At 43.3% G+C, this 14,656-nt stretch overlaps 1 protein-coding gene across 7 annotated transcripts in view; it reads right to left on the bottom strand.

Annotated features, from left to right (window-relative positions):
• Positions 1–2,817: 2,817 nt before the first annotated feature.
• PPP1R36 (protein phosphatase 1 regulatory subunit 36) overlaps positions 2,818–14,656 on the bottom strand; it is a 39,421-nt gene continuing 27,582 nt past the window's right edge. For all 7 annotated transcript variants that reach the window (XM_047430998.1, NM_172365.3, XM_011536468.4 and 4 more), the window contains 4 exons: positions 5,320–5,362; positions 4,827–5,005; positions 3,904–4,095; positions 2,818–3,047 (listed from right to left, as the gene is read on the bottom strand). In XM_047430998.1, the coding sequence (XP_047286954.1) occupies positions 2,861–3,047; positions 3,904–4,095; positions 4,827–5,005; positions 5,320–5,362 (601 nt within the window). In that variant the 3' untranslated portion in view covers positions 2,818–2,860. The remainder of the gene's footprint in view (positions 3,048–3,903; positions 4,096–4,826; positions 5,006–5,319; positions 5,363–14,656) is intronic.

The following is a 14,656-nucleotide window of genomic DNA, read 5'->3' as shown; positions in this document are numbered from 1 at the left end:
GACAATAAATGTTGCTGTTTTAAGCTACCATGTTTTGAGGTAATGTTATACAGCAGTAGATAATGAAGACAACCAGGAATATTCCCCTCCTAACTTCCCACCTCTCCAAATCCTATGAGTCATCAGTTCTCAGATTTAAATGTCGATTCCTCAGGGACGACTTTCCCTTTCCCTGACAATCTCCCCCATACCAGCAGGCCTCTGATGATACATTTTAACAGCATCCTCTTCTTCTCTTTTGCGGCACTCATCACCATGGCAATTTGTTCATAATCTGAGTATTTGTTTCATGCCTGTCTTCCCTCAAGACTGTCAGTTCCATAACTGAGCAGGCTATATTTATTTCATCCACACTGAATTCCCAGCACCTAATGTGGTGCCTAGCACAGAGTGGGGATATAGTAATTGTAGAATAAAAAATGTAAACTTAAGAATGAATAAATGAAATATATCTAAGCCTCATAGTTCAGAAAGGAGCAAGAGAAAAGCCTAGTAAAGATAGTTACAAACGTCTCATAATTCCAAGGTTTTCTTTTTGAAAAATACTTATTAAACAGGCCGGGCGCAGTGGCTCACACCTGTAATCCCAGCACTTTGGGAGGCTGAGGTAGGGAGATCACGAGGTCAGGAGATCGAGACCATCCTGGCTAACATGGTGAAACCCCGTCTCTACTAAAAATACAAAAAATTAGCCAGGCGTGGTGGCGGGCACCTGTAGTCCCAGCTACTCGGGAGGCTGAGGCAGGAGAATGGCATAAACCTGGGAGGTGGAGCTTGCAGTGAGCCGAGATGGCACCATTGCACTCCAGCCTGGGTGACAGAGCGAGACTCCATTTAAAAAAAAAAAAAAAACTTTTTAAACAAAACAGCCAGGTGCAGTGGCTCACACCTATAATCCTAGCACTTTGGGAGGCCGAGGCAGGCAGACTGCTTGAGCTCAGGAGTTCGAGACCAGCCTGGGAAACGTGGTAAGACTGTCTCTGCAAAAAATACAAAAATTAGCTGGGCATGGTGGCATGTGTCTGTGGTCCCAGCTACTCGGGAGGCTGAGGTGGGAGGGTTACCTGAGCCCAGGAGGTGGAGGCTACAGGGAGCCATGAATGTGCCACTGTACTCGAGTCTGGGAGCCTGGTTGACAGAGCGATACCCTACCTCAAAAAACAAACAAACAAAAAAACCATGTCAACATATTCTAGTTAAAAATTTGTTATAACAGAGTGCATTATAATCTAATTCTCCACTTTAAAAAAAAGGCCAACCAGGGTTAGCTGATAGTCCAGGAGTTGATGTGGGTAATAAAGGATGAGAGGATGAAGACAGAGTGCATGTTTAAGAAGATGCCCCAATACCAATAGGCTGGAATTGATGTTCCTCTGCCCTGGATATTGAATCTGGGAAAGGTGTCCAGTTTTTTATGAAGCTGAATGCCAAAGGAGGATGTTGAAGTCTGAGGACAAACCTGTGGCCTGGCAAATTTAGTCCAGTTGTTTTAGGTGACTAAACTCTATACCCTTACAGGACTTTTAAAATGATAATATTATATAATCAACAGCTCTGTATTCCATCTAGTGAATTGGTTTTATTAGTGATTCTTTATCTTCACTGCCTACCAGATAACATCCAACTCACTCCCTAGCTGGATGTCCAGGACTCAGCTGACCTTTCAGGCCTGACCTTCTCAGGCTGCCTGCTGCAGACACCATGCTCTTGGCATTCCGCAGTCACAGGGTCCACTTTCCCATCTCTGTGCCTTTGCAAGCACTCTTCCTCTGACTGCAAGTTCCCTTTCAGTACCACTGAATCCCTCCAAAGCTAAGTTCAAATCAGAACTCTCCTGCTGCCCTCAGAACTGACTGCTCCATGGCTCTGTCCTCTTGAGCACTTTGTGTGTTTATCACTTCTGTGGCCAATAACATATTTAATATTATATTGTGGTGGTGTATTTCATTTATCTTCTCTGCTACATAGACCTGGAGGATATTGTCTTTGTCTTCATCTTTTTTTTCTGCATAACCTAGTACACGGCTCTGGATGGAATAGGGGCTTAATATATATTTGTTGTTAAATGAATAAATGAAAGAATGAATGTTAAAAGGCTTCTAAATGAATCTGATATACTTTATATCCCAAGGCCGGTAATAACAATAATAATATAGTCATAGAAAGAGATTAAAGTTAAAAAGTCTTAATGTGCCTTTTTTGATTATGAAGTTCTGTTTTCACATGTACCAAAGAAGACATCTCATAAGGCAAAAATGAACTTAGAAATGAATAAACAAGGCCGGGTGCAGTGGCTCACACCTGTAACCCCAGCACTTTGGGAGGCCAAGGTAGGCGGAACGTTTGAGGTCAGGAGTTGGAGACCAGCCTGGCCAACATCGTGAAACCCCATCTCTACTAAAAATACAAAAAAATTAGCCAGGCGTGGTGGCGCACGCCTGTAATCACAGCTACTCAGGCTAAAGCAGGAAAATTGCTTGACCAAGGTGGAGGCTGCAGTGAGCCGAGATCACATCACTGCTCTCCAGCCTGGGCTATAGAGTAAGACTCTGTCTCAAAAAAAAAAAAAAATTCGAGAAATGAATAAACAGCATGGTTCTTCACTAGTAAACTACAGCACTGACTAAATGTTCTAATACATTACTCTTAGTAGTCACATAGAGCTCAAATAAATACATAAACAAAGCAAACTACTAAAAATAGGAAAATGAGCTTTTCAAGAGCTTTCAGGAATTCTTTGTCTGCTGTTCAACTTTTAACCAGATAATTTGAAAAATTTTAAAAGCTTAATAATAATAACAACGAATAACCATCTTCTATAAAGTCAAAGTAGTTTACTTGAGATATGGAATGTACCAGGTTACTTAGGGCATGATGTATGAGAGGACAGTGTTTTCATGACCAAGTCCAGTGTATCCTGAATCCTCATGTTATTGTTTTCCATCAAGGAAGGATATCTCCCAAATGATTTTGTGTTTTCTTCTGGATCAAGGGGGTGAAGCGTATGTGGGTTGAATAGACATCGAGGCTCCCCCAAGATGCCAACTCTGTGAAAAGAATTATTGGGATAGCTGAAGTGATGAGGCCAAAGACTGACGTGCAGGGTTGAGACTGTGATTGTGGTTGTGTGTATGTATGTGTGTGTGTATGTACACTAAAGCTAAGATATACTCTTTCTCTCTTTTTAAAAACTTTCCCTGTTTCCATGAACTACCACTGTAGTCTTATATATGAGTCCAAAAGTAAATCCTTAGCAAGATTTTGTACTAGCGCTTCCCACATTTCTCAAAGGTGATTCTACTAATAGAAAAACCTCAGCCTTAAAAAAATTCAGTTACAGGCTGGGCGCGGTGGCTCACACCTGTAATCCCAGCACTTTGGGAGGCCGAGGCGGGCAGATCACCTGAGGCTGGGAGTTTGAGACCAGCCTGACCAACATGGAGAAACCCCATCTCTACTAAAAATACAAAACTAGCCGGGCGTGGTGGCTCATGCCTATAATCCCAGCTACTCAGGAGGCTGAGGCAGGAGAATCACTTAAACTCGGGAGGCAGAGGTTGAAGTGAGCCGAGATTGTGCCATTGCACTCCAGCCTGGGCAACAAGAGAGGGACTCCGTCTCAAAAAAAAAAAAAAAAAAAAAATCAGTTACTCACTCCTCCAAACTAGAACTATTTGGAGTCTAGCACCACTTTCTAGCAATTGTTTTTCTGGTCTAGATGGGTGTACCTCAAGATTCTCTAGAAAGGAAACTAGGAGGGGAGCAGGGCAGAAGTAAGAAAATGGGGGCTGTCATCATGGCTCGATTCCCTGGCAGAGGCATGGTGCCTGGGCCCCTGCCCCTTCCAGCCCCACCTGGGATGCCACCTCAAGGCACTCATGCTTCTCTTGCCAAGCCACTTACACCGGCATGGGCACAGAGTCCAGAGTTCCCACATGCTTTTGCATCTCGGCTGGGAATCTGACGTCTACTTGATGATACTTTTTCTCAAAGACGTTTTGAGCTTTTTCTCTGAGAGATGGCAGCAGAGTAGACATGACTGGAGAACGCATGTTGATAGCTTTTTTAATTGCTGGGCGTTTTGCCATCATTCTCCTGTCGGGGAGGAAGGTGACATTTAGGTCATATCACCCTGTTTTCTAGAAATGTTCTTGAGGCCAGGTGCAGTGGCTCATGCCTGTAATCCCAACCCTTTGGGAGATCAAGGCGGGAGGATCACTTGAGCCCAGGAGTTCGAGACCAGCCTGGGCAACATAGCAAGACCCCCGTCTCTACAAAAAATTTTAAAAAGTAGCCAGGTGAGACAGCATGCCTGCAGTCCTAGCTACAGGAGGATCACTTGAGCCTGGGAGGTTGAGGCTGCAGTGAGCTGTGATCATGCCACTGCCTTCCAGCCTAGGTGACGGAATGAGATCCTGTCTGAAAAAAAAAAGAGGAGGCTGGGCATGGTGGCTCACGCCTGTAATCCCAGCACTTTGGGAGGCTGAGGCGTGTGAATCAGCTGAGGTTAGGAGTTCGAGATCAGCTTGACCAACATGGTGAAACTCCGTCTCTACTAAAAATACAAAAAATTAGCCAGGCGTGGTGGCGCATGTCTGTAATCCTAGCTACTCGGGAGGCTGAGACAGGAGAATTGCTTGAACCCAGGAGTCGGACGTTGCAGTAAGCCAAGCTTGTGCCACTGCACTCCAGCCTCAGCAATAGAGCAAGACTCTGTCTCAAAAAAAAAAAAAAAAAAAAAAAAAAAAAAGGAGAAAAAAGAAAAGAAAAGAAAGGAAAGGAAGAAAAGAAATACCCCTGAGCATAGGAAAGTCAAAAGGTCATACCTGAACTGAACAAAAGTCATGCGTTTCTTTTCCCCTCCTGATTCCTCATCTTCACGCCTCCTGCGAGGAATGTTGAACATATTGGTACGAAAGAGTCTCCCTACTTCTTCTTCAATCTCTGTCAAGTGTTGACGTCGGAAGACAATCCAAGCCACATATGTACAGAAAGTATAAAAGGACTACAACAAAAAATAGACAAGAATCACGATCCTTAGCTGTGAAATGGAAAACTCTTACCTGTCTGTATAACACAGCTAAGCAGACACAAACCCAGATGACCCAATTTCCCAATATTCCTGAAACAATGAAAAATTATACACATACTCACTTTTGCATGAGGAAAATCAGACCAACAATTTAAGGTATAGCATATAGCTTGTTAGCACCGTCTTTTAGAAAGGATATTCACTAAAAATAAGTGCCTGACAAATGGCCATTGGTTGTTGGTATATATTGTTTCATATCAAAAAGCACCAAAACATAAGTGACTCACCTCAAAGAACTTCCAGTCTTTCTGTGTATCTGATATTTTCTCCCTGTAATATAACAAGTCACAACTATAGGTTGAGAGGGAAGTTCAATCTTTCAGGGTACTAGTCCTTATCTTTCTCTAAAGTTAGGGTCATTATCTTGGCCCCAAGATTATTTTCAGCTACACAAATGCTATCAAAAGGCATTGATAAAGAGTCTCAATACTTTCTTATTCAACCTCCTACGTTACCCAGATCAAAACTCCTAGAATGGTAAAAAGTTAATCAATATAAATTTGGGGTAAACAAACCAGTGAGGAAATGTATTCTTCCAAAGGCTTCTGGTAATTTGAGTGTTGGGGAGGTAAGGAGAGTGGAAAGGTGGTAAAGAGGAAGCAGAGAACTAGAGGGTAAGTCTGCAATAAAGAAAAGGAAAAGAATTAGCAAACAATAGTTATGGCTATTGGGTACAAAAAGAAACAGAAACAAAATCCACAAAGATCTATGCCAAAACAACCAATAGACTGAGAACGGCAGTGTGCTCCTCCTTCTGATGGGCATGGACAAACCTGAGTCTTCTCTCTTCCCAGGAGTCCTTGCAACACAAATTCAATGTTAAGAATACTATACTTGGCAAGATGCAGTGGCTTACGCCTGTAATTAGCACTTTGGGAGGCCGAGGTGCGTGGATCACTTGAGGCCAGGAGTTTCAGACCAGCCTGGCCAACATGGTGACGCTGTTAAAGTACTAAAAGTACTAAAAGTACAAAAATTAGCTCTACTAAAAGTACAAAAATTAGCTGGGTGTGGTGGCGGGCGCCTCTAATCCCAGCTACTCGGGAGGCTGAGGCAGGAGAATTGCTTGAACCCGGGAGGTAGAAGTTGCAGTAAGCCGAGATTGTGCCACTGCACTCCAGCCTGGGCAACAGAGCAAGACTCCATCTCAAAAAGAAAAAAAAAGAATACTATACTGGCATGGGCGCAATTAGTGAACATGGCCTCCCCTCCTAACAATTCTGATTCTGACTCCCAGCCTAGGAAACCAGGCCTGGTCTGGGGAGCCCTTGAGAGTTGACTGAGGGGGTTATGCACCTGCAGTCACTTGATCAGTCACAGCGGCCAAGGCCAGACCCTGGACACTTCAAGGCTGATCCTGGTTTTGCTTCTTTTTTAAGACAGAGCTGGAGTGCAGTAGTGTGATCATAGCTCACTATAGCCTTGACCTTCTGGGCTCAAGCAATCCTCCCACCTCCCAATCCTCCCACCAGACTGTAGGAGTTCAGGATGGTTCTGGAGAGCCTGGTACCCACCTCAGCCTCACAAGAAGCTGGGACCACAAGTATACACCACCACACTGGCTAATTTTTTTTTTTTTTTTTTTTTTTTGAGACAGGGTCTCATTCTGTCATCCAGGCTGGAGCACAGTAGCATGATCATGGCTCACGGCAGCCCTGACCTCCCCAGGCTTAGGTGATCCTCCCACCTCAGCCTCCCAAGTAGCTGAGACTACAGGCACACACCAACATGACCAGCTAATTTTTGTATTTTTTGTAGAGATGGGGTTTCACCATGTTGGCCAGGCTGGTCTCGAACTCCTGAGCTCAAGCTATCCACCTACCTCACCCTCCCAAAGTGATGGGATGACAGGCGTGAGCCAAGGTGCCCGGCCTGCTTCTGCTTTTGTTGGGGCCTTCCTTGGAGGAACTGTGACTCTGAGGATTGGCCTTGGTACCAGGCTCTCCAGAACCATCCTGAACTCCCACAGTCTGGGAAAGATGACCCAAACCTCACAGGACCTTCGGCCTTCTCACAGGGACTTCCTGGTCTGAATGGGCCCAAACTAGCCCTCCACTTGGGGAATGAGGCCAAAGAGGTGGTTACTGGGGCCTGCCCCTCCCCTCCTACAGACTCTCTTCATTATATATTGGTTTCTTCATGTGCAAGTCTTCAATAAAGAACTACGGCAATAGCAATTAGAGTGAACATGGACTAAGTATGGACTATGTGCCGGGTACTGCACTAAGCCCTTTACATGTATGATCCTATCTAGTCTTTATAACATCCTGCACCACGCTAAGCCCTTTACATGTATTATCATATCTGGTCTTCATAACATCCCTATGGTATAGTCAACATTATTATTCCCACTTCTCAACTGAGGAAACTAAAGTTGAGACTTAAGTCCAAAGACATATATCTAATTAGGGACAGATCCTGTACTAAAACTCGGGCCTGTCAGATACCCACGTCTGTCCTCATAACTGGACTGTGAGGAGAATAAGCTTTTTTCTTTAAAATAGTTTGCAGATAAACGTACTGAACAACAGAGCTCAGCGGAAACTTTTCAGAGCAAGCCTCAGCATTTCTTCTCTGTGCCACCTGAGGCCTCCACCTGAGGGGTGTGCTGATGTGAAATTTCCACCCTTTCAAAGCTCCTCTTCCATAACTAACTGTAAATCTTCTGCCAGCTGAAACCAGAGACCATGAACACCTGCCAAGCTGAAGCAAGAAAACTAGCCAAAGTCTGTTTTGGGAATAAAGTCAGCTTGTATTCTGGGAGATCTAGAGCAGAGCTCACATCAGCACAAGGCAAACCAGCACCATCTTAGCATGGTTTTGAAATGAGAGTGATTGCCCAGGAAACACACTTTCTTTCCTTTTCTTTCTGGGTTCTTTTTTTAGACATTAGAAGAGAAGGTAAGGCTGGGCACAGTGGCTCACGCCTGTAATCCCAGCACTTTGGGATGCTAAGGCAGGCGGATCACCTGAGGTCAGGAGTTCAAGACCAGCCTGGCCAACATGGCGAAACACCATCTCTACTAAAAATACAAAAATTAGCCGGGCGTGGTGGCAGGTGCCTGTAATCCCAGCTACTCGGGAGGCTGAGTCAGGGAGAATTGCTTGAACCCAGGAGGCGGAGGTTGCAGTGAGCCAAGATCACGTCACTGCACTCCAGCCTGGGCGACAGAGCAAGATTCCATCTCAAAAAAAAAAAAAAAAAAGAGGAGGTAACATGAACCTCTTTCCACTTTCCCTCGAGTTGCCATACACACTGGAACTCTTTCTCTCTTTTTTTTTTTTTTTTTTTTTTGAGATGGAGTTTCACTCTTGTCTAGGCTGGAGTGCAATGGCACGATCTTGGCTCACCGCAACCTCTGCCTCCCGGGTTCAAACGATTCTCCTGCCTCAGCCTCCCAAGTAGCTGGGATTACAGACATGCGCAACCACGCCTGGCTAATTTTGTATTTTTAGTAGAGATGGGGTTTCTCTGTGTTGGTCATGGCTGTCTCAAACTCCTGACCTCAGGTGATCCGCCTGTCTCGGCCTCCTGAAGTGCTGGGGTTACAGGCGTGAGCCACAGCGCCCGGCCTAACTCTTTCTCTCTTAATGCCCAAAGCAAACTGATGTAACCCATACTGCAAAAATTAAGTACAGAATGTCATGGGTTTCTTCTTGCCATTCTGATTTAGCCCTGCATATGAAATAGAAATGCGTCCAGGAAATGGGTGCATACAGTGAATACATCTGGGGACTTCATAGTTAAAAGCTCTACAAATTTACTTCTGGCTGGTATATTTTGAGTCGTTTTCCTGTCTATTTTGGTATTTTATAATTTTTATATTAAGTACATATACTTAAAATAAATTGATTATAAATTTAAAAATTTATTGATTATAAAATAACAAAATTGGCCTGGCATGGTGGCTCACACCTGTAATTCTAGCGCTTTGGAAAGCCAAGGCAGGCAGATCGCTTGAGCTCAGGAGTTCAAGACCAGCCTGGGCAAGATGGCAAAACGCGATCTCTACAAAAATACAAAAAAAAAATATATATATATATATATATAGCTGGGAGTGGTGGCACACGCCTTGTAGTCCCAGCTACTTATGGGGCCAGGTGGGAGGATCGCTTGAGAACAGGAAGTTGAGGCTGCAGTGAGCCAAGATAGTGCCACTGCACTCTAGCCTGGGTGGCAAAGTGAGACCCTATCTCAAAAAAAATAAAAAATAAAAATAAATTAAATTAAATTTTAAAAAATTAAAATAACAAAATTTAAGCCTCCCAGAATCGTCTGCAAATAGAAATGGGGTTTAAACAATACAATCCGTGGAAATATAATGCAAGCCATAAATTAATTTTAAATTTTCTAGTAGCCACAGTGAAGAGAAACAAGTGAAGCTAATTTTAATAATAAATTTTATCCAAACCCCCAAAATATTATCATTTCAATATAGAAGCAATATTTCTAAAGTATTGAGATGTTTTATTCATATTTAGACTTTCTGTGTACAGTGCTTATTTTTCACTTATAGTATGTTTCAATTTGGACTACTACATTTCAAAGTGCTCAACAGCCGCGTGTGGCAAGTGGCCACCATGCTGGTCAGCACAGACACCATGCATTCCATGTTTGAGGACACAACCCAAAGGAAAGAGGGGAAAGCCAGCCTGGTAGTAAATCTAGAGAATTTTAGTGGCCTGTTATGATGCTCTCTTATTCCTTCTTGCTACCTTAGACTCTTGGCTCCAAATCAAAATGAGGAAAGTATATTTTATGATTTGTCATTCCTAAAGGGAAACAAAGTCTAGACCCAGGGTTCTGGGCTAGGGAGAAAAAAAGTTGTGCTCCCCCACTTGCCCCCTGCTGCTCTAGGTGAAATCAGGTTTAAAAGAAGGTCAAGGCCTGCTCTATACAAGAGTGTCAAAGGGATGTATTTTAGGGGAGGGGAAAGAGGCTTTGGTGCATGTGACTGGGGGTAAGGGTAGAGGAATAGGGCTTAGGGATAATTTACACACCTGAGTTTCAAAAAGACTCCCTTTTTCCCCGTCAGCCCCACCGCTAGCCTCTCTGGTTGCCCATCAAGTGACAGCTGCACTGAGAACAGTGGAAGAAGGTATAAATACTAGCGTAGAGGCGGGGGTGGAGCCAGCATTGGCCATCACCAAAGAGATCTAACTATGGCATGTGCCTGCCACCAAGGAGGTTTTCATATCTAACTTGGAAAACACAGAGAACTTTTACTGAACGTGTTCATCAAAATTCTGCCAAAGCTTTCAGGATGTCAGGGTTCCTCAGACATTTAAAGGCACATCCTTCTACTTCTCAAGAGACATGAAAGCACTAAATTAACAGCACCCAAACTGCTGGTTCTACTAAAATCTTTAATCATAGAGATACGCAGCATAATGTGTTGTAGTCAAATATTAAGTGTGCACATGAGACAAAACAGGGACCACCCCCCACACTTAGGGATCTGCCACCCCACCCCCACCCCCAAACATGGAAATAAAGGGAAGCCTTGAGTTCTTGTAAGGGAAATTCCAGGCACCTAGCTAGCCCTGAGAAGTAAATGAGCAACTTGATAAGAAGATAACAGTAGCTTAAAAGACAGCCAAGGAAGTTAGAGTCACAAGATGTTTGGTTCCCTATATAAAGTAAAAATAACATTTTAACATATGTCCCTGCGTTGTTTTTCAGAAACTCAGACCCCCACCAAATGGGTCCACTGGCATGTAGACCTCAGATAAGGGGAGACTGAGGACTGAACTCTAACTGCATTCATTGTTCTAAAGTTCTTCCTGAGAGGCCTAGAAGTCATGTACATGAGCCAGACCTAACACATCTTTCTGCAGACCCCAAGTTTTTAAAACAAAGCTGCTCTACCTTAACCAAATCAGAAAATCTTGGAATCTGCTTATGACCTGTAAGGCCCCGCTTCAAAATATCCTGCCTTTTTAGTCCAAACCAATATATAACCTCTATGTATTGATTTACAACTTTGCCTGTAACTTCTGCTTTCCTGAAATGTACTCCTGCCTTTAAAAACCCTTGCTTACAAGCCATCAGAGAGGTCAGGTCTTAAGTGAGAGCTGCCTGATTCTACTTGCTTGCCAACCTGCAAATAAATACCCTCCTTTCTCCTGATATTACAAACCACGGTGTGGATGTTTCACCTGACTGCATCAGGCAAGCGGACCCCAGTTCACTTCGGTAACACATATATGAAAGAGAAAAGTCAGAAAATACACATGAAAATATTAGCTTACTGAAATCGGAAAGAAGTGGAATGTTAAAATGAGTTAATCACTTATAACCGGCAAAAACATTGTCCTCATCTTCTCCTGCATAAAAGCCACCAAAAGAACAATATAAACTTCCGAATCATGGCAAAAACCTGTTCCAGTCTGTCTTTTATGTCCTTTGTTCAGCGTTTGACCTGTATGGAATTTGTTACGTGGGTGGTGAGATCTGCGCTCATTCTTCTATAAACTGCTATCCAGCAGGCAGAGGAAACATGGGTTATGTCGCATACAGTGGAAAAATGACCAGCACCATCTGGAAATGAGCTAGTGCTAACCAGAGGCCATCATCTACTTTCAAACATATGTGTTCCTTTAAAGGTTTGTGTAAAAATTGCCTTGGAAAAAGTATAATTACTTCAGTGGAGGCTCTATGCCGAGAACTAAAAAATATTATAAATTCTCTAATTATGGTATAATTGTTTATAGTTTGCTTTTTATCCCAACATTGGTTTGCAATGTATATGTGTTTTTAAAGATTAAACATTAAGTATGAGAAATTTAAAAAAAATTTTTTTGAGGCAGGGTGTTGTTCTGTCACCAGGTTGGAGTGCAGTAAGTAGCACAATCATGACACATTGCAGCCTCAACCTCCCTGGCTCAAGCAGTTCTCCCACCTCAGCCTCCCAGGTGGCTGGAACTACAGGCATGCACCACCATGCCCAGCTAATTCTTTAATTTTTTTCTGGAGAGAGGCTCTCACTGTGTTGCCCGGGCTGGTCTCGAACTCCTGGGCTCAAGTGACTTTCCTGCCTCAGTCTCCCAAAGTGCTGGGATTACAGGCATGAGCCACTGTGCCTGGCCAAAATCATTTCTTAAGAGCATGTTTTTGTTTTGTTTTTTTTGTTTTTTGAGACGGAGTCTCGCTCTGTCGCCCAGGCTGGAGTGCAGTGGCGCGATCTCAGCTCACTGCAAGCTGCGCCTCCCAGGTTCACGCTATTCTCCTGCCTCAGCCTCCCTAGTAGCTGGGACTACAGGCGCCCGCCACCACGCCCGGCTAATTTTTTGTATTTTTAGTAGAGATGGGGTTTCGCCGTGTTAGCCAGGATGGTCTCGATCTCCTGACCTCGTGATCTGCTCACCTCGGCCTCCCAAAGTGCTGGGATTACAGGCGTGAGCCACCGCGCCTGGCCCAAGAGCAGGTTTTTTAACCTTAAATCCTAGTTTTCTAACTAGAAGTGACACTTTAAAGACAAAAGAAATTAGTGTCAATATTAATAGTGATGTTATAAATGATTGAGTAGGAAACTGTAAAGATGACTGTAATTTTATCATAATGCTTTTCCTAAAAACTTTGTCAAGAGAAAACACTACTTCTTTCTAAACAATGAAGTCTATAGCAAGCTGAACCTCCACCAACAGCCCTAAACACCTGTAAAAGCTTCCTGTTTTTGGATCACAGGAAGGTATTTTTGATGCTGAAACATCCCCAACTTTTAAGTATCTCTATATTAAATCTACTACTATACCTCACTCATCAGAGAGATTAAATGTAATAATTCCATTAGTTTATATATGCTCTTGTCCTTTTGGGTTTCTTTTTTCTTTTAATTTTTATTTTAGGTTTGGGGGTACATGTGAAGGTTTGTTAAATAGATAAACACGAGTCACGGGGGTTTGTTGTACGTATTATCACATCGCTCAGGTATTAAGCTCAGTAGACAATACTTATCTTTTCTGCTCCTCTCCCTCCTCCTACCATTCCCACCTCAAGTGGACCCCAGTGTCTGTTGCTTCTTTCTTTGTGTTCATAAGTTCTTATCATTTAGCTCCGACTTATAAATAAATGAGAACATGCAGTATTTCGTTTTCTGCTCCTGTGCTAGTTTGCTAAGGATAATAGCCTCCAGCTCTATCCATGTTCCCACAGAAGGCATGATCTCATTCTTTTTTATAGCTGCAGAGTATTCCAAGGTGTAAACGTACCACCTTTTCTTTATCCAGTGTGTCACTGTTGGGCATTTAGGTTGATTCCATGTCTTTGCTATTGTGAACAGTGCTGCAGTGAACATTTGCATGCATGTGTCTTTATGACAGAATGCTTCACATTCCTCTGGGTATATACCCAGTAATGGGAATGCTGGGTTGAATGGTAGTTCTGCTTTTAGCTCTTTGAGGAATCACCATACTGCTTTCCACAATGGTTGAACTAATTTACATCCCACCAACAGTGTATAAGCGTTCCCTTTTCTCTGCAACCTAGCCAGCATCTGTTATTTTTTGACTTTTTAATAATGGCCATTCTGACTGATGTGAAATAGTATCTCATTGTGGTTTTTATTTTTTACTGTAACCCACAGAAAGAAATATATTTAATAGAGTCCCCAGTACACACTGAAACAAGTCTCCTAAAACAATACTTACTTTTACTTTTTATGATGTACTCTGATTTTTAAAGTTCTAGTCTACTCTCTTCAAGACTTACTAAATTGATTTCAAGATCCATTAATGTGTTGTACTCTGAAAAACACTGGTTTAGGAGCGTTACTGTAAGAAAGAACAACAGGCTGTAGAAAGCTGAATGCATAAAAGATGAGGACTGACTGTACTTTTGAAAGACACAAAAAGTGCCAAGCATGGTGGCACATACCTATAATTCCAGCACTTTGGGAGGCCGAGGCAGGTGGATCACCTGAGGTCAGGAATTCAAGACCAGCCTGACTAACATGGTGAAACCCCATCTCTACTAAATACAAAAAATTAGCCAGGCGTGGTAGCAGAGTTTGTGGTGGGCCGAGATCGCGCCATTGCACTCCAGCCTGGGCAACAAGAGTGAAACTCCATCTCAAAAAAAAAAGGCCAGGTGCAGTGGTTCACGCCTGTAATCCCAGCACTTTGGGAGGCCGAGGCAGGCGGATCACAAGGTCAGGAGATCGAGACCATTCTGGCTAACATGGTGAAACCCTGTCTCTACTAAAAATACAAAAAATTAGCCGGGCGTGGTGGCGGGCGCCTGTAGTCCCAGCTACTCGGGAGGCTGAGGCAGGAGAACAGCGTGAACCCGGAAGGCAGAGTTTGCAGTGAGCCAAGATCGCACCACTGCACTCCAGCCTGGGTGACAGAGTGAGATTCCATCTCAAAAAAAAAAAAAAAAAAAAAAAAAGTAATCATGGCAGCAAAGCTTAAAAATGCTATGATGTTGGATATGTTATCAGAAGCAGACACCAAGACAGGACTAGACATGAGATTTATTGGAGAAAGACAAGATTTATTGGAGAAAATTATGGTGACAGAAAATGAGGAGAGAACTGGAGAAGGCAAGGAGTGCCGTCACACCTC

The sequence above is a fragment of the Homo sapiens genome, chromosome 14, assembly GCF_000001405.40.
Source record: "Homo sapiens chromosome 14, GRCh38.p14 Primary Assembly".
In the NCBI taxonomy this organism is placed as follows: domain Eukaryota; kingdom Metazoa; phylum Chordata; class Mammalia; order Primates; family Hominidae; genus Homo; species Homo sapiens.
Note: the sequence above shows the minus strand (reverse complement) of the source record. Positions and strands in the feature narration are given on the sequence as shown.